General features: G+C 39.9%; 1 pseudogene, 1 gene segment (V, D, J or C) and 1 further gene, besides 2 other annotated features; all 3 read right to left on the reverse strand.

The window, feature by feature from the left end:
* The window catches only part of TRG (T cell receptor gamma locus), a 128032-nt gene that overhangs the window by 35419 nt on the left and 72405 nt on the right, over positions 1-20208 (reverse strand).
* On the reverse strand, positions 817-876 carry TRGJP1 (T cell receptor gamma joining P1). The segment is given in 1 exon segment: positions 817-876. A coding segment is annotated over 1 exon segment (60 nt), but the record flags the coding sequence as incomplete, so codon positions are not given.
* Positions 16174-16636, reverse strand: TRGV11 (T cell receptor gamma variable 11 (non-functional); annotated as a pseudogene). The gene is given in 2 exon segments: positions 16174-16487; positions 16594-16636. Coding segments are annotated over 2 exon segments (357 nt in total).
* Positions 16483-16487: a sequence feature (TRGV11 leader sequence).
* Positions 16594-16636: a sequence feature (TRGV11 leader sequence).

Consider the following 20208-nt stretch of genomic DNA (forward strand, 5'->3'; position numbering starts at 1 on the left):
AGACTGGCAGCTTTTGAGTGTTGAGACTGTGTCTTCTTTGCCCTTTTATCTCTAGCATCCAGAACAAAAACTGTTTTTGATAAATATTTGCTGAGAGGATGAATGAACAAATGAAGATGTAAAATGATGAAGACTCTTTTCATTGACCTTGGAGCTGACATGGCTGGTTGAACTTACAAATTCTATTAAACCGGGCCATTTCCAGGTGATATAACAAGAGTCCCAATTGCATAAATTTTGACTGACTTCAGCCTCCCTCAAAGAAACTAGAACACTAATAAGTGGGATGTATTGACCTTCTATAGTAATTTACTATAAGAAGTAATTTTTTTCTATACTATTTCTCAGGATGAGATCAAAATCAATAACATGGGTTTGGCAGGCTAGCAGAAGAAGGGAGCACTATGTTATATCTCAAAATACAGAGAAGAAGTAATTAATAAAACTCCATTTTTATGTCTCTCACTTAAAAGACCAACAAAAAAGTAACTTGGACCAAGGACTTACACTAATGGTGTATAGACATGGGCCTCAAAACATTTTAATTTCTTGCCAGAGTCTATCTTTTGTGTGTGTGTGTGTGTGTGTGTGTGTGTGTGTATTCTTAAAGTAGAATTTTAATCCGCTTACAGACAGGGAAGGGAAGATATCATGTACAAAATCGTTTTGTTTCCATATTCAGCTAATCTGCAAAATTGCTGTTCGTATACTGAGGCCAGGAATGTGACATATTCAGATAAGGTTGATCATTTTTTTCTAAAAATCATCTATCAGTTTTTCATTACTGGAATAAAAACAGAAAGAAAAGTTACTTACCAGGTGAAGTTACTATGAGCTTAGTCCCTTCAGCAAATATCTTGAACCAACCAGTGGTATCACACCGGTCTAAGCTTCTACAAAAATCTCAGCCTTCTGATCCTCGGGACACGACTAGCAATCCAACAACTTTGAACTAGCAATTTCATCTTCTGGCTTTTTTGGAAGTCCTTGAATATAGGTTTTGTGACATGTGATAGTTTGTAATTTTTCCTCATAAATTGCCTGTTTTCTTCTAAGGCAGTAATTCTTGAAAAGCACCAACAGAAAAGGGAAATGGAAAAAAAAAAGCAGGAAGAGAAAACAGCAGGTTTAATGGGTCAACCCACTGCTTTTCTAAATTACCAGGAAAAGTATTCAGAGAATTGTCTTTTTTTTTTCCAGGGGTTCAATTGTGTTGAAACTGCTTTGAGATTACATCAAAGGAAAAGCCCTTCTGTTCCCACAAACACCAGAGCCTCTCTGCTAGCAATTTGGGAAGATACTTCTGAAAGGAGGAAGCTCTTTAGTAACTGAAAATGCAAATGTGTCAATGCAGATATACTTGAGAAATTTGAACAACGGTCTCCACTTTCAAAAAGCCACTTTTATCATTTGGCAACATGATGCTTTACCAAGGCAATGCCAAATGAAAAAATGTGTTCTGCAATGACTTATTATTTCTCCTGGAATAATAGAAGAAATTTGTAGAATTCTATCTCCCATGAAATAATACATTCTTTAATTATACTGAGGCATGACCAAAAAAAACAAATCCAGTTATCTAATATGTTGAAAAATCTGCCATCTTAAGCCGGGGTCAGCTGTGTGATCTCCTGAGTACAGATGAGGTGTTCACTTGCAAGGGCTGAGGAGGACAAGCCTTGACAACCTCCATGTCCACTCCAGATCCACCCTGCTCCAGCCTAAGTCCCCTGAGTCCTCATTCAGGAAGATATGAATGAGGTCACAGAGGGTACCTGTCCATACACAGCAGCTCACAGCCCCCAATTCAATGGAGAGGACAATGGGGCTGGGTGAAAATTATGTTTGGAAAGGGTTTCTTCTTAATAGAAAATTCAAAATTATTATGTGGCGCTGTCAATGACCCTTTACACCTGTGATAGATGGAATGACGCCCGCTCAATCTCTTCTTGTCCTCTGGCCTTCCTTATTTCAGGACCATGAGGCGAAGCATCAGAAGTCTTAGCAGCTGTCAATATTTCAAGAGCCATGAAGGATTTAACTAATAAAATGTGGAAAAGTAATGAATTATAAAATCTTTTATTAAATTTACCAAAAAAATACAAGAATGATATGAAGAACACAGTGTTTAGTTTTCCTAAGGGCATAAAATAAAACCTAAATAAATGGAGAAACATACATTGATGAATAAAAAGCTCCTATCATAAAGAGGCCAATACATCCTAAATTCATCTATAAATTTCCAGCAATTCCAGTCAGAATTACTACGACATGTTGTTGTTGTTCTAGGCTGTGAGGTTTAATGTTGGGCTAGATAAGTTGATTTTAAATTCTACAGGAGTGAATAAATATGAGATGATTGAAAAAGATTTTCTGAAAAATGGTACAGTGAATAGACATTTGGCATAGTAGATCTTAATTTTTATCACAAAGCTACTGAGATAATATGATAATGATGTAAGAATAATGAAACAGACAAATAAAACAGAAATTCTCCAGAAAATGTGTCAAATATGTGTGCATATTTAAAACACGCTGCAGCATTTTTAAATTGAAAGGAAATGATGGATTGTTTGGAAACGGGCATTAGGAAAATAATTACCTTAGAAAATAAAAATACCACTCTACCTCATCCCAGATAACACAGGGTCCAAATAGATTAAAATTAAAATTACAAAGCAACACGTGGCCAGAAGGAACATATTGGAGATTTATTGTATCCATTGAGTAAAGGGGCATGGGATGGAAATGGGGTAGGAGAAACTTAACACATTAATTTTTAGGAAGTAAGCATGTGGAAAATTTTCTATTTTTATAGTATTTTCAAATAAATGTTTTTGAAAGAATAGACAATGAGGACTTGCTAAAAAATTTAGAGAGGAAAGTGACATGATCACATTTGCACTGGAGAAAGATAGATGTGCAAGCAGAAAGGAAGGGGCGCTCCCCAGGACAGCAATTTGGCTGAAGCAGATGGTTTTATAGGTGGTCGCCATAATCCAATAAGAGGCAACCAGGACCTGAATTGTTGCAGTGATGGTGGAGATGGACAGAGTGGCTGCAGCAATAAACATTAACAAGTTTACTCGAGCTTTTAAAGGATTCTTATGAAATAAATTATTATCTCAGGAAGTTGGGAATGAAGAAAAAGACACTTTAAAATTGGAAAACCCAGGTTCAGATTCCAGTTCTTCCACTCCTGGTGATGTGCCCTTGGGCACACACACTTCTCAGAGCCTGGGTTTCCTCATCTTTTAAATGGAGAGAATTAGACCTATTTCCCAGGACTTTTGTACGATATTTATAATCGAGCATGGGACACAGTAGGGGCTAAAAACTGTTTAATTTTCTCTTATCATTTATGTAATAATTCAGACAGAGAGACTTCACTTCATAAGGTAGAATGGAAAGATCTTATTTCTGTGTCTTTTTATCTGAAAATAATAAGTTATTGTTACTTCGTACTGTCAATTACCCTTTGCACCTGTCATAGATGGGATGATGCCCATTCAATCCCTCTTTGTCCTCTGCTTTTCCTTATTCCAGAACCATGTGGGGAAGTATCAGAAGTCTTAGAAGCTGTCTACATTTCAACAGCCATGAAAGATTTAAGTAATACAATGTAAAAAGTAAGTAATGAATTATAACATATTTTATTAAGTTTACAAAAAAAAAGAACTATGTGAAGACCATGATGTTCAGTTTTACTAAAGGCGTAAAATGAAACCCAAATGAATGTGTATAAAGATAAGCAGTTTCGCCTCTAACCCTGTGTTTTGGAACACATACATCCTCCCCGCCACATTTGTCATGTCTTGAGTTAACAAACTGAGGCAACTTAAATCCTGCTTCCAAGAAGATGGGTTATGAATGAACAAATATATAAATAACAAGTAAGTCAAGTGAGGTAAAGCACAAGTTGATACTGCATTGCTTGAAGTTTTGCATCACTTTTTCAAGTCTGATGATAATAATTTTCATAGAGAACAGCTTCAACCAAATTTGTTAGACCATCAAAAGATACGAAAATATATCTCACATTTCATTTCAGGGTTTGGTTGCCAACATGAACCAAAATAATAATTTGCACATTTTTTTCACATTGGTTTATCTTTCAGAAATTGTAGTGGATCTTAATTAAATCAGGTACAGCAGTAAGTTAAGACACTTCTGAGAGAGACCACCCTCTGAAGCAAAAAAAAACACATTATCTGACATGTACAAGAGATAAAAAAATCACATACTGACAATCTGTGGACCACTAACTTTCATAAATTAGCATAATTTGATTTCACATATGTCATCACTTAGATAATATCAGATATGTTACAATATAGTCCAGTGGATCTTCACTTGTTTCTAAAAACACCAGGGCAGTGTTTGGGAGAGGCCGGGTCACTGCACTTTCAATCAGATTCTCCCTTTTAGCAATTGTGCCACCTGTCTTCATTCTTAACCTGAAGATTTAGTCTTTTAGGGTTTCTTTTGCACTTGGGGTACTTAACATGCCACTATGCATATTGTAGATTTATAGATACTTTTCAACTGATACTGCTCCCACAGGCAAACATGCCTGGTGAAACACTTGTTTCTTTTTGGCAAACAAGAAATGTTTGCATAAAAGACTCGTGTCTGGAAAAATGTCTTGAGAAATTGATATGCTACTCTAAGCCCCAAATCTCCTTTTCACTTACCTTCCCCCTGCTGCAGGATGACAATCCATGGGCCTGTGCTTTCTGATAGTGAAAGAGAAGAAAACTCATAAATATAGTGTCTACCATGAGTCAGGCACTAACTATGCATTTATCTCTTTCTGCTTTACCCTATAAATGGTTATTACCATTAAAAGTCATGTGAGGAAACAGAATTAGGGAGTTCAAACTGAGCCAGGATTTCAGTTCAAGTTTTCCAGATCCCAAACCCTGTTCATCAATTACTTCACAGTTGGAGAGATATGTGTGGAAGGAACGCAGTTCCCAAGTATAGTCTAGGTCTGTATAATATAGAGAATCTGTATCTCAAATGGCCATATAGAGGATGCTGGGTATTGCTTTCTAGGAATCACAGAACATATTAAACGAAATAAAAAGCAGATGAAATGGTTGATTTGCATATTCTAAAAAGCATTGAGTAGTCAGTGACAACACCTAGCAAAATAATCTGTGAGGAGCGGGGCTAGTTGAATCTGAATATCAAATTATATCTCACAATTTACTTTCTTTTTATTTGTCTTTCAGTGACACCAGGAGATTATACATCCATGGGGCCATTTGGGCCATGCACTTCAGAATGACAATCATTGCCGTCATGGCTGGCCTATTGCCCTGCACATGTCAGGGGGAACACAAAGAGTTTCTAAACCTGCAGTAAGTTAGAGAGAAGACTGGGTCTTCCCTGCATTGGGTCTGTAGTGTTTCGGTCAGGGGCTCTGTTGAGACAGCCTACTCCAGTCTCAGATTGGACCACACAGGGTTGGGCCTGGTTTGTGGGTGTCTTTCTCGCAGGTGAAACCATAGCTTCAAGAGCTCCTGTAAACTCCCTTCAGATCTCATATCACAGGAAACTCAGTAATAGTTGGGTCTCTGCACTCTTCTCTCATTACTAGGAGAAACAAAAAACACAGAAGTCAACAAAACACTATCTGCTTGAGAAAACACCCTTGCCATTCCATCAGATGATACAATATACTGTTGCCATTTACTGCAATAGGAAAGTCTGGGGAGGAAAATAATACATGCTTGGAGATTGGGGGAAGGGAGTGGAATTGGAATCAATAATTTTTTTGGCTACTTGTCAGACATCCAAAAAGAGAGGTACTGAGCTAAATGTAATGGTATAGATATGGTTGCTACTATTGTTCTTGCTATTTTCTAGGTGTGGCTGGTAAGGCCTTGGACATGAACAAGTCCTAGGTCACTCTAAGAAGGCAGAAAGCAGGCCAGGACTACCCAATTTGAACCAAGTGTGTGGCCAGCCCCTTGGGATTGGTTCCAGCTTTCAGAGTGAAGAGTAGGAAATTCCAGCCTTGGTTCAGCAGGTCCTTCTATTATAAGAATTTACTAATCTAGTCAGAAAAAAAGCTAATCTCTATGTCCCACATGCCCATATGTGTGATGGGCATACCAGGGAAACTGCTCTGATTAGTAAGGGATTTCAGAACAGTTAGGAAGCTGTAGAAACAAAGGGCAGTAAATAGCTATGGGAAGACAACATGGGTAGATGGGTCAGAAAGAAATGCAGAGAAAACAGTCACTTTTTGTCCCCACCAACCAGAGACAACTACTATTAACAGTTTGGTGTATTCCCTTACAGGCTAATATCTGCTCATCTTTTTCATTTGCTTCACATAGATATAATATGTGTGCTCGATTTTAAGCTCTGTCTTTATAACTTAAGGTAACACCAGGAATATTTTTCTGCTCTGTGGTTACTTTCTTATCACGTTCTGACACTTAGCAAGATTCCCTGGTTCACTACCACACTAACCATCAGATCACATAGGGGTCTGCAGATTTTATTTATTTTACATGGCCAGTCCCACGAATTAAAGGAACAGAAAAACAAGAAATTATGATTTAATTGATCTGTTAGGTTTTGAACTTCTATGAGGTTCCTGTTGCTCATTTAGTATCTAATTAATGAAAGTAATTTAATTATCTGCCTTCCTTTTCTTAACATCATCTCCTCACTCTCCTACTAGTCTTCCTGTGTCTCCCAAACAAACTAGCTGTCCTCAAAGCCTGAGGCTCACTTCCTGGGGGAACTCAAACTAAGACCGGTTGGCTGTGTCCCTTTCAATACAGATACCCTCCCGGTTGTTATAACAGTTCCATGTCCCTCCAGACTTAAGAGTAGCAAGGACTTTTGTGTTGCAATAGCCCATTTGTGTAGTTACAACAGAGACTATGTTGTCCACCAACGTAGAATATATTTACTATTGGGTCCTTTGCAAAAATAGTTTGCCAACTCCTGTTTTAGAGCAATTAAGGTTTAAAGGACTATGTTTTACCTTCATTTATTTTATTTCCAGTTCTTATCATTTCCTTGTGTGAATTCAAGTTTTTGACCCATATCATTTTTTTTTTTTTTGCCTGAATAACTTCAGACATTTCTTGTGAAGTGCAACTGCTGGCAATGAATTCTCTCAGTTTTTATTTTGTCTGAAGCTGTCTTTATGCCAAGTGACAGTTTTTTCATTTAACACTTTGTAGATTTCACTCCAATGTCTTCTTGCTTGCGTGGTTTCAGATGGAAAATCTGCTTTTTTCCCTCTAGCTACCTTCAAGAGTTTCTCTTTATTTTTGGTTTTCAACAGTTTAAATCTAATATGTCTAGGTATTTTGTTCTGTTTTTAATATTTATCCTGGTTGGTGTTTTCCTAGCTTTTTTGTTCTGTGGTTTGGTATCTATCACTACATTTGGAATACTCTCAGCCATTATTTTTTCAAATATTTGTTCTGCTCTTTGTCTCTTTTGTTTCAGGGATTCTAGTTACAAATATGTTTGAAAATATGATATTGTCCACAGTTCTGTTCTTCCATGAAGATATGCTTTCTCTCCTGTTCTTTCTTTCTCATCTCCTTGCATTGCAGTTTGGGTCATATCTAGTGGCCTATCTTTATGTTAACCAAATCTTTCCTTATCTCCATAGGGTCTACTGGTGAGCCCTTCAAAGGCATTCTTGATTTCTGTTACTGTGTTTTTTTTTTATGTCTTGCATTTTCATTTGAATTTTTTTATGTAATTGCTGTCTCTTTGCTGAAATTCTCTGTCTGACCTTGCATGTTGTCTACCTTTTCCATTAGAGCCTTTAACATACTCATCAGTTATTTTAAACTCCCTGCCTGACAGCTCAAACATCTGAGTCATATCAGAGTCCGATGCGTATGATTGCTTTGTGGCTTCAAGACTGTGTTCCTTCTTGTTTTGGGGTAAGGTACTTAGATTTTTTTATTGAAAGGGGACGATGTTGTATAACACAGTAGATACTGAGATAACTATATTTGATGCTTAAAAATGCCTACATTGGCCAGGCACGCTGGTTCATGCCTGTAATCCCAGCACTTTGGGAGGCCAAGGTGGGCAGATCACGAGGTCAAGAGATTGAGACCATCCTGGCCAATATGGTAAAAACCCCGTCTCTACTAAAAATAGAAAGATTAGCCAGGCATGGTGACGCATGCCTATAGTCCCAGCTACTCGGGAGGCTGAGGCAGGTAAATCACTCGAACCCGGGAGGTAGAGGTTGCAGTGAGCTGAGATCAGCCACTGCACTCTAGCCTGGGTGACAGAGCAAGACTCCGCCTCAAAAAAAAAAAAAAAAAGAAAAAAGAAAAAAGAAAAAAAAAATGCCTGCATCTTTCTTTCTGCCAGACCTTTAGTGTGGGAGTTTGTGTTAATCTAGTTAGGAGTTAGACTGGGTTAGAAGTTTGTTGTTGCTACTAAGTTGTCTGGATTGGAGTTTGTTCTTCATAGGACATTAGAGACTTTAGATTTCTCTAATCATCCCTTGTTCTTGGCTTTGAGCCATCCCTTTGTTCTGCTCCCCAGAGACAGTCTGTCTTTTGAAGCTCTCTTCACTGCATTCTACTGTTGCTTTTGCTCAAGGTAGTATGGTGGTGAGGTGAGGAAGGGAGCCATTCTCTGCTATTTTCATTCAGCTTCTGTCTTAAACAGGCAGGGTCAAACCGGGACTTGAGAATGTAACTTCACAACTGTTGCTGCTCTTATTCCAGAGGTGGCACATTTCCAGTCATAGGAGGCACCCACCAGTGTCCTTGGGCTATGATTTTGACACCCACCCTTCTGCACATTAAAACTCATTACTCTGTGGAGATAGGGATAAAGTATTGGGCAGAGTTGATGGTGGCTTCCTTTTCCCTCCCTCAACTAAAATGAAATTCCATAGAAACCTTCTCTTGCAGATTAAGTCCTTCTACAGTGGAGAAGAGGTGGGGTAGGTCTGGGTGAATTTAGACAGTGGCTACTGTTCCCCTTCTAAGCCAGTACCAAAAAGGGGAGCTTTCTCTGGATTCTCCATGCTCTTCCCTGCAAGAGCCTGCATAGGGTTCCTGGAGAAAAAGTCTAAAAGATGGTGGGAAATTCCCTAAAATTTTGGCCCCCAGCGGCTCACACTCTCCCACTAGTCTGCATTCAGCCTTTATAATTTCACTAAAATGTCTAGTTTAATTTCCTATCAGTTTTCTTTCTAGCCGTAGAGACCACATATTAGATGCTATTTTTACCTCCTCTCTCAGAGTCAGGACACAGCGTGGTTACGAGGACAGACGCTGAAGCCAGAACCCCAGCCCCTCCCCCCCCCCAGTTAAGAACTCTGACCACAAAGTAAATCACATCGCTCTGCCTCTGTTTCCTCCCCCGTAAGATGAGAATCACAACAGACCAATGTGAAAAGATGTCCCAAGGATGAGATGAGTTACATGTAAAGGATTTAGAGCAGTGCCCAAGAGGGAGCAGAGTACCCTGAATAAACGGCTGCTGCAATCACAGGCAGAAGCCGGGAAGAGGATCCATCCTGGTGGGGATCCACCTTGTCGGTGGATCATCTAATGCCCCCTCCCTTCCCTAGGAGGATCTGAGACCTGTGCAAAGGAAGTGTGCTGGCTGGACTGTAGGAGGATCCCTCAGAGTGGAATGAGCCTGAGGAGAGGGCAGGAGCTTCATTTCACACTCACCCCCAACATGAGTGGAGCAAATGAATGCTAACTTCTTCAAGGTCACAGGACACAGCTGAGGAAACATGGGCATTTGGGGTTTAAGAAGGTATTTTATCTTTCAAATTATTTCATATTAAAGTGGAAAAAAATGAAGATGACATTGCGAAAGTATTGCAATGGTTATATAAGATGTGTAAGATACCCAGCACGTTTCCTGCCACTCAGTGATTCCCTCTTTGAGTCTGGATCATATAAACTTTCAGGTAATCCCTGGACCTTGAGCACAGAGTACACTGATTTCTGTATGTCCTAATGTGTGAACATAATCAAGTTTCCAGAGGTTGAAGGGGAAGTCCTGGGAGGTGCAGTCCAACCCTGACAACCCTGCTAAGCCTATGCTCCTGTTGGAAGGGGGCTGGTACACACAGACCTAAAGAGGGATTCTGTGCGGGTGTCCTGACATCTCTCATCTGTGATTCCAGCAAGCACATAACTATCTCCATTTCCTTTTTCCTGAGAATTTATCTTGTAGGTCAAAACAGATCTAGGAACATCATTTTCAGCTACAGCCCCTAAGTGAATTGAGAGGGTCATGTTGTTGAGGAAAATGCATCAAGTTATGTCTCAGCCAGTATAAGCGGCTAGATACCACCCCAGATAGTATTTGGACTTTTAATATTTTTCTCTGGAAATTAATATTTCAGGTTGCTCCAATTTCTTGTATCCAAAACAAGCTGTAAGCAAAGAAGAGAAATCCATATGAAGACCTGAGGTATAAAGATGCACCATTAAATAATTTACTTGCTCTCTCCTCAAGAGTCAAAATGATGGGGAACCCGTAAGAGTCCAGAGAGAGGAAAAGATGATGCTTCCAGCAACGACATCCTGCTGTGTCCCAAGGAGAAGGCAGGGAAGTGTGTGCTTGATGCCCAGTGGGCTCAATAATCACAGCAGTAAATGACCTCATCTTCATGTTTGTGAAATTTACTTTCAAGGTTGAAGTGGAAGGATGAGCATCATTGTAAGCCACAACACCTAATGGACCCTGAGCAGGTGCGATTGTCAACACACATCCAATGCCGACTTAGGTTTCAGCTGACACCAGTATTTGACTTCATTTTTAGTCTTGGCTGGATATTTTACAAGGTATAAAAGCATCCTTATCTTTTGCCCTGGGTATTTTAAATTTGTGCCAACTTTAACGCCCTGAGAATAACTGTAAGCAAAGAAAATTAATTCTCATGAACACCTGATATGTAAAGATGAAGTGATAAAGAATTTCTTCACCTGATATACAAAGTGAAATGACTGGAGCAAACCCCAAGGTGAATCCCTACATGCTCCTGGTGCTGACATGCTCTGGTCTGCCAGGCTGTGTTCCCAAGAAGAAGCAGGAAAGTGAGGATGCCTGTGCCTAGAATGTTTAGTGTGTGGCAAGGGTAGCTTGGTCTGAGCAGGTGTCAGGGAAAGAAGTAGTGGGTCACAGTGATTCCCTGACAACCCTTTCTGTAGAGTGCAGCGTTGTCAGATCTGAAATGGCTGGCCCTCTAAATACTCCAGTGCCCAGGAGATCTGGCAATATGGTGATGGTTAGAGGAGAACTCTTCCTATGAAGGGTGAGGTGTGGGTGAGTGGTGACAGTGGCAATTAACTTCAATTTCTCTCCCCTTCCCTGTTGCCTCCTATTTCGTTTTTCAGTAGCCCTAGTGATATGAGGATATGTGATATGTGGATATGAGGATACAGTGATATGTATTTTGTACTCAAAGCAAAAATTACTCTTCCTGTGGGTTGAATGTGGATCTAAAACTCAAGGTTATAAAACACCTGTATTTCTCACTATATAAAATACTGAAAATTTGTGCTGATTTTATAACAAATTTTATAAATGAAAATAAAAGTACATATACGTGGACAATTGAGTATATTTGTTTAATTAATTGGGAGGATGCCATCTATTTCAGCCCCAGAGAGGCCAAATATCAGTTCAATATTGCTCTCCAGAAATTAGAGAGGACACTAGACACAACCATCCTATGGAAATGGGATTGGCTTGCACTTGTACCAGACTGTGGAGCTTATATCTTGAACAGTTTGGCCCTTAGACTCCCACTCCCCACACCATAGTATGTAGGAGGGACCTTCTGAAAAGAGCTTCTGACGCAGTAGGCCTGGGCTGAGGCTTGACTGACTGGATTTAAAAGAAGCTCCTAAGTGAAGCCAATGCTGCTGGTTCACAAATCAAACTTTGAGTACCAAGGACTTAGAGTATTAGTCTAAATAATTTTATTTTCTAATATGCAATAATAACTCATATGATTAATGTAGTGCTTCAATTTGTTGAGCATTAGGCATGCCCCAAGCACTTGCAAGAACTTTATTTGTATTATTTAAGTTACTTTTCTCAACAGTTTATTTGAGTAATCATTATTATGTTCTCCATTTTACAATTAGGAAAATGAATCAAATATATGCTAACTAATTTATCTGAAGTCACACAGCTAATATGGGGAGGGTGGATGTGTAACAAAGGGTCATTAAAGAAAAATTGAGAAATTGGGAAACACTAAATATGAATAAATGTCACTCATGAGTCTATCACTCTAGGACAGTGACTGAAAATCATTTTCTGTAAAGACCCAAATAATAAATATTTTGGGCTTTGTGGGTCTCTGTTATAGCTACAGTCATCTCTCAGAATCTTCAGGGGATTTGTTCCAGGATCCCCGACAGATACCAAAATCCATGTATGCTCAAGTCCCTGATATAAAATGGCATAGTACCTGCATATAACAAATGCACATCCTCCTCTACACTTCAAATCATCTCTAATTATGTATAATACCTAATACAATGTAAATACTATGTATGTAGTTGCTATATTATATTGTTTTTATTTGTATTATTTTTATTGCTGTATTGTAATTTTTTATTTTTTTCAAATATTTTTGATCCACTGTTGGTTGAATTCGCAGGTATTTAATGCACAGATAGTGAAGACTGACTGAATGTACTCTACCATTCAAGTGCAAAAGCAGCTAGCAAAAGCAGCCATAAACAATATATAAATAAATAGGCATGGTTGTATTTCAATAAAACTTTATTTACAAAACTGGAGACTGCTGGTCATAGACATAGTTTGCTGACCTTCTGCTCAATAGTAACCAGTATTAACATGAAGGTTGGTATTTTTGTTTTTTTTTTTCTGAGAGCTATAGAGTAGTGATATGATTAAGTGGAAAAACATAAAAATAATTTTAAGTGTGCCATATATAGTTATATTTTATGTTGTTATATAAACAGTTTCATTATTAAATGCATGAATCAATAAAATATTGAAGCCATTATGGCATACATCTTTAAAAGTAGTAGCAGCTTTTTGTTACAATGTGTAAAATCTGTGCAAGTACCAAGAAGATGTTAAAATCACCCATCCTTTCAGAGACACCCACTCTTTAAACTTTGGAGAATTTTTTTCCTTTTGCTCGTTCTTCAATATATACATGTATGTACATGAGAGCTTACTATTTAAATCAGTTCTGTGTTCAATATCCTCCTGCTAAATACATGGTGAATATTTTCAATTTTACTTATAGTTCTTCAAAAACACTGCTTAATTGCTACATAGTATTTCATTACTTTAAATTCACACAGATACGGTGTCTCTTTCCTTCCTCTTCCTCACTCTAGTGTGTCTCTAAGTTTTCTTCCCCATAAATCTCCCAGGAGTCTCTTAAAAAGTCAAAGTGACTGCATCTTCTAAGACCTGACCTTGTGTGGCCACTACAGTCACTCTACACTGCTCTTTTGAGGATTAAATAAAATAATCCATGTAAAATACTTAACACTGACATTGTGAAAAGCTGAATTCCATCTTTTCATTCACCTATTTCTTGAAAAGTTCATGTTCTCAGGCTCTGTATTTCCTTAACAATCTTCTTCCCTTTGCTTTTATGTATGCATCAGGTGAGAGGTGAGGTCTGTTGAGGACTCACTCAGGCGCTCAGGTCATTCTCCCTGTGGACCACCATGGTCAGGAATCATGGCGGACAGGATGCGGGACTCCAGATTCTGAGTCTGCACCTGGAAAGGGGCTGACCTGCCATGGAGGCTCCTGGTATTCCCTCATTGGGCTTTCAATAGCATTTCTCCTCTTATCCTATCAGGATGGTACAAGCTGATTCTCAGAAGGGAGAATGGAGAAAAAATACGTTGCAATTACTTCAAGGACTGTAAGTAGACTGCATGTATGGCAATATGCTGTCAGATATCCATAGTACTAAAGGTATAAATAGGAGAAAATCTTTGAAACTCCGGATTTTTCATCATTAATTTGTTGTTTGAAAGTTTCAAAGAAGTGAGAGAGGACTTTTACAGTTTTACAGTTTTATATTTTGTTTCATTATTTTTTGAAAGTTCCCAACCACCCAATGATTAATCATGGAATAAACATAAAATAATTGTCAATCATTATTTCTTATTTATTAATTTCTGAGGGGTATTATTATGGTTATTTCCTTTACCGATGCAGGAAGCATGTATTATCTTTCTTCTTAACTATCTAATCCTATTTTACTCAGGATTTTTAGTTTTCTTTGCAGAACCCTGAAAGACAAGATCTCCAAAGCATAGCCCCCATCCTGAGATCCCCCACTGTGCCTAGGAGCTGGGTTCCACTGCACAGTGCTTGTTTTGTCCCAGCACTGAGCCCTGAGTGTGAAGTGAGCTGCATGCTCTTCCTCTAGGACACAGGATTTATACTTTCATCTCTCATATACCCCAAACAGGTGATTGTTTACTTACAGATCTACTTACTTGTCCCTAGATTTCTTCAGGATGGCCTCAGGTGCGAATAAAAAGCACACAGTTACTATGTTTGACAGATCACTCTAACTTTGAAAACCTCCAATGCTCATGAACCAAATGGGAAAATAATGATAACAGCAGGGAATATCTATGTAAAATATATACTGCTTCCTACTTTCATTCTGAACCAGTTACTAGAAATCTCTACGTAGCGAATTACTAGACAGATGAATTTTGCTCTAAGCCACCCACTCTGTATTTTCAGAGTTCCCAGATATCCTAATGTTGTAGGAAATAGTGTCAAAATGTCCCTAATTTGGATCCTAATTGCTGACACTGATATGGGATTGGGGGAGGGAAGTGCAGGGAAAGGAAGGACGTGGTCCCTGTCGAGGGCCCCACTCCCAGGCCTGTGCCCACGGACCTAGGTGAGGACAGGCACTCCTGCCTCCACGCCCAAATGTTGCATTTCCCAAGACCACCCTGGCCCGCCACGCCTCCATCTTGTGCCTATAAAACCCCTGAGACCCTAGTGGGCACACACACAAGTGGCTGGACATCGAGAGGAACACTAATGTGGAAAAGCACACCTACAGAGACTGGCGGGCTGCAGGCCATCGACTGGCAGAACAAAGCAGAGTTTGGCGAGACTGGCGGGCTGCAGGCCATCGACTGGCAGAACAAAGCAGAGTTTGGCGGGGTGGTTGGAGGAAAGCCTGGCCGCTGAGCAGTCAACTCCAGGGGAAAACCACCTTCCCACTCCATCTCCCGTCTGGCTCCCCCATCTGCTAAGAGCTACTTCCACTCAATAAAACCTTGCACTCGGCCAGGCGCGGTGGCTCACACCTGTAATCCCAGCACTTTGGGAGGCCGAGGTGGGCAGATCACGAGGTCAGGAGTTCGAGACAATCCTGGCTAACACGGTGAAACCCCGTCTCTACTAAAAATACAAAAAATTAGCCAGGCATGGTGGGGGGCGCCTGTAGTCCCAGCTACTCGGGAGACTGCCCAGGAGAATGGCGTGAACCCGGGAGGCGGAGCTTGCGTGAGCCGAGATTGCGCCACTGCACTCCAGCCCAGGCGACAAAGCGAGACTCCGTCTCAAAACAAAAACAAAAATAAAAAACTTGCACTCATTCTCCAAGCCCACATGTTATCCAATTCTTTCAGTACACCAAGGCAAGAAACCCAGGGATACAGAAAGCCCTCCGTCCTTGCAATAAGGCAGGGGGTCTAATTGAGCTGGCTAAAGCAAGTCACCTATGGACAGCCAAACTAAAAGGACACCTTGTAACACAGGCCCACTGGGGCCTCAGGAGTTATAAGCATTCACCCCTAGACACTGCTGTGGGGTCGGAGCCCCACAACCTGCACGTGTGCATGCTCCCCCTAGAGGTTTGAGGAGAGGGGCACCAAGAAGGGAGCCACATCCTTATCGCACGCCCTGAGAGGGAACAAGAAAACTTTTCCCGTTTGGACACCATGAATCACCAATGTGATTCTGCACACCAAGGGAGCAGAATCTAAGATGTCTTCCTGCAACATTCCAGAAGAGCTGCAGGGAGGGCAGGCTCCGGCTGGGCACCCAGCTGAGCAAACCGCTGTGGTTGCCCACATGGAGAAGGATGTGGACAGGCACAGACTCGGAGATAGTTTCTGTGTAGGTTATCTTGACAACTCTAACACTGTGGTGCCTAATCCAGCAGGCACAGTGGTACACCACCTCATCTTCTTTCTCTAAGAACTTTATTTTCAAAGTGGAAGTGGAAGTGTGAGCATTTTTACTTACCTCAAGTTTCTTAGTCTTCCCACCTGAGCAATCTTGAGCAGAGATTGTCAAGAAGACATGTAATAAATATTCTAAGCCTTTGTTTGGTTTCTGCCAGTACCAGTGTATGATTTTACTGCTAAAGCCTTGGATGGATGCCTTCCAAGATATGTGGGCACTCTTATTTGCTGGTCTGGAAATAGATATTTCAGGTTGTTCCAACTGCCCAAGTGCAATTGCAAGTGAAGAGAAATTCCCATAAGCCAACGATACGTGAAGAGGTAATAATACAGAATGACTTCAATCTCTTCTGTAGACTGAAATGATTAGGGGGCAACTCACAAACCCAGAGGGAGAAGAAGATAACAGCTACTACCAGTGGCATGCTTTCTGCCAGTCTGGTTCCCCAGGGAGAAGGTAACCCTGTTCACTGGAGGTCTCAAGTCAGTGGCAGAAGGCGGGGCTGTTGAGGTCTCTCAGAAGTACTAGATGAGGTGGTTCCTTAGGGTTCTTCATGAGCTGCTACAGTTATGAGCAGTTCCAGGGTTTCCTGCATCCCATGAGTGCTGGGCAGATCGGGTAAGTGGGTTAACTATCTGGAAAGAAATACCTAGTATGAATGTGTACCTCTAGGGGTGGGGCAGGGATGTTCTCTTGCCCACTCTCCCATTCCCCAGCAGTACCATATTGCAGAAATATGGCTTTGAAAATGTGAAGATAAACCTGCAGTGTTCTGTCCCAATGACTATCTTTCTGTAATTAGCTGTTAATTCAGAACTGCAGTAAGAAACTTGACAAGCATCTAATATCCATTTACAACTTGCTACTTGTCTAGATGTTTTCTTATATTATTTTACTTGATCCTCTCAACAGTCCTGTGCAGTAAGTTTTATGATTATCTCCATGTGTCAAATGAGGACAACGGCAAACAGAGTTTGAGTGACTCATTCAAAAACACAGAGCTGGTAAACATAAGAACTCAGGTGAGTAGCAGTCATCCGTTAAGGAAAATCTGAGTAAAATGAGATATAAAAATTGACAACAAAAGGCACCCATCATTTACTTTTCCTTTGAATTTTTCTCAACATATTTATGGTTGGAAATAGAATAGCTTGGTATTGTTCATTGCAGCACTATTCACGGTAGCAAAGACATGGTATTAACCCAAATGCCCATCAATGATAGATTGGATAAAGAAATTATGGTACATATATACCATGGAGTACTATGCAGCCATAAAATGGAAGGAGATCATGTCCTTCACAGGAAAACGGATGAGCTGAAAGCCATTATCCTCAGCAAACTAATGCAGGAACAGAAAGCCAAACACTGCATGTCCGCATTTATAAGTGGGAGCTTAATGATGAGAACACATGGACACAGGGAGAGAAACAACACACACTGGGGCCTATTGGCGGGCAGGGTGTGGGGAAGGATAGCATTAGGAAAAATAGCTAATGCATGCTGGGCTCAGTACCTAGGTGATGGGTTGATAGGTGCAACAAACCACACAGCACACGTTTACCTATGTAACAAACATGCACATCCTGCACATGTACCTCAGAACTTAAAAGTTAAAAATTTTTAAAAAAGAAATAGAATGGCTTGGTATTATTTATACATATGATATATGTATATATTTCGGTGGGATTTACATATTTGGCTTTATACTCTCTTATTTTGGTTACTTTATTATCATGAGCAATACTGCAGGTCTTGAGTCTATGTGCACATTATTTTTAGTGACCGAATACAATTAAACACTCCTATACCACTTAACCCTATAGAATGTGGGCTGAGTTATTTAAGCTCTTGGGCCTCAGTTTCTACATGTGTACCTTGCCTACATATATATCTTCTAGAGGTACTAAGGGGCTTATATTATCGTGTTACACAATGGTAATGCATAAAATACTCAGATATCAGTACCTGGCACAGCATGAGTCCTTAATGACGTTATCGTGTCTTAGTATTACTACCAAACAAGAGAAAATTACTTTGTTAAGTATATCTTACAACAAAGCCTTAGTATCTCACTTAAGAAAATATATAAAAATTAGTAAAAGTACATAGAATAATTTAAATAATTATTCCCTCGGGAATAATTATTCTAAAATTTTGGATAATTTCTTTCTGTTTTTAAAAAATTATTCTATCAACACAGACATTTATATTTTTAAGAGGTTTTGTACACTTCAAGAACTTTTCTTTACATTGTATTGTGAAGATGTTTGAATTTTATTAATAAATGCATACAATATCATTTTCACAGGCTGCATAGTATTCTGTCATTTGAATGCACTATGAATCTAGTATCTCTTTCTCTGTTTCTCACCATTTAGTCTGATGCCTGAAAGGCTGCAGGAGAGCTCTGCTCTATGATCTGGACACAGGGATCTGGCAGTGGATACCTCATTGCTGCTCTCTGAGGCTGTTTTGAGTAGTAGATGAGACAACCACGAGAAGAGGGTGACACAAGTATTTCCGCAAGCCTGTCTATGCATCCCTGTCTGAAAACAGCTTATCCTCTCAGATTCGCTGTGTTTTTCCTCAGATCTTACTGTCTACTTTAGCTAATATTAAAGTTAACAAGTAAAGGCCCATATAGGTTCAAGAAACCAAGTGTGGCCCACCCTGAGGGAATATGATGGTCAGGAATTACACAGACAGGATGTGGATCACAAAAGGCTGAGTGCATCGGGGTGGGAGGATAAAGGATGACGGATTGTCTGATTCCAGCCCCAGGTCAGCCTTTCCTGGAACCCCCTTTATTTCCTTCAGTAGCCTTCCTGGCTCCTTGGAAAAGGGGATGATGAGGATGAATATGTTGTCCTGACCTTGGAAATTATCGAATAAGTAAGACAACACGTGGCACGAATGCAAGGTGGTATCTATATTTTTCCATGGGGGTGCCTAGTATGTACTGCTATAGGAAAAGTACATGGATTAAAGGTATTCTTCATTTCTTTCTCAATTATTTTAGAGATGGCATCATAAAATAATCGAATTTGTATCACTTTATATTTTGAAAAAATGGATAATTTATTGGTATTTCACTTATTCAACAAGGATTCCTAATTGCTCAAATTCTGGTCACCTGATTCAGTTCAAAATAATAATTGTGCCAGTAAATGTTTTACAGAAGTTGTCAGTATTGTCTTCTCCATGGGAGTAGGAACAATGTACTTCTCTTTACCCTTCTGTGACTGAGGAGTACAGACTCTGGAGCCAGACTAGCTGGGTCCAATCCTACACTGCCATGAACCAGCTGTGTGACCTGGATGAGTGGCTAGGACAAATAGATCTCACTTACCTGAGTAAAATGCACTTCTGTTCATAACAGAACAGACCTCAGAGGTTGCCAGAGGTTAAAGGAGTTAATAAATGCAAAGTATGGCTCATTTAACAGTCCGATGCCTGGGGCTCTTTTCTGATGATATCACACTGTCACACCCCTTAGTGTGAAGTGAGGAACCATCTTCTTCTCTACAGAAAAAAGACACTTGCTCCACCCCAAAGTCACCTCAAAGAGTCTGTTGTACAACTGTGACTTTTAGATATTCAAGGTGGCCTCATGATCCAGTTTTAAAAAACAAAAAACATGCACTTCTCAACTTCGACCAGTCATTTTGAACTTGTAAGCTTTAATTTCTTTATTAAAATGGGCAAATAATAGTTCTGTTGCAGAGGTGTTGAAATAATTATATATGGGATTCCTATACACAACGATTCTCTCCCTTGGCCTAAGCCGTTTGCAGTTAATAGAATTATCTGGATGCTGACAGGAATGGGACCTTAGCCTGTGTCCACTCATTCCCAGGCCAAACCTTAATTCATTAGGAAGTAGTGTTCAATGAATATCTGGGAACGTCATGATCAGGCATGCTTCCTGCTTAAAGCATTAACCCAAGATGGCTTCCCAGAAAGATCCAGAAGTGCCGCAGAGAAGGCAAGGCT

This window comes from Homo sapiens, chromosome 7 (genome assembly GCF_000001405.40).
Source record: "Homo sapiens chromosome 7, GRCh38.p14 Primary Assembly".
Taxonomy (NCBI): domain Eukaryota; kingdom Metazoa; phylum Chordata; class Mammalia; order Primates; family Hominidae; genus Homo; species Homo sapiens.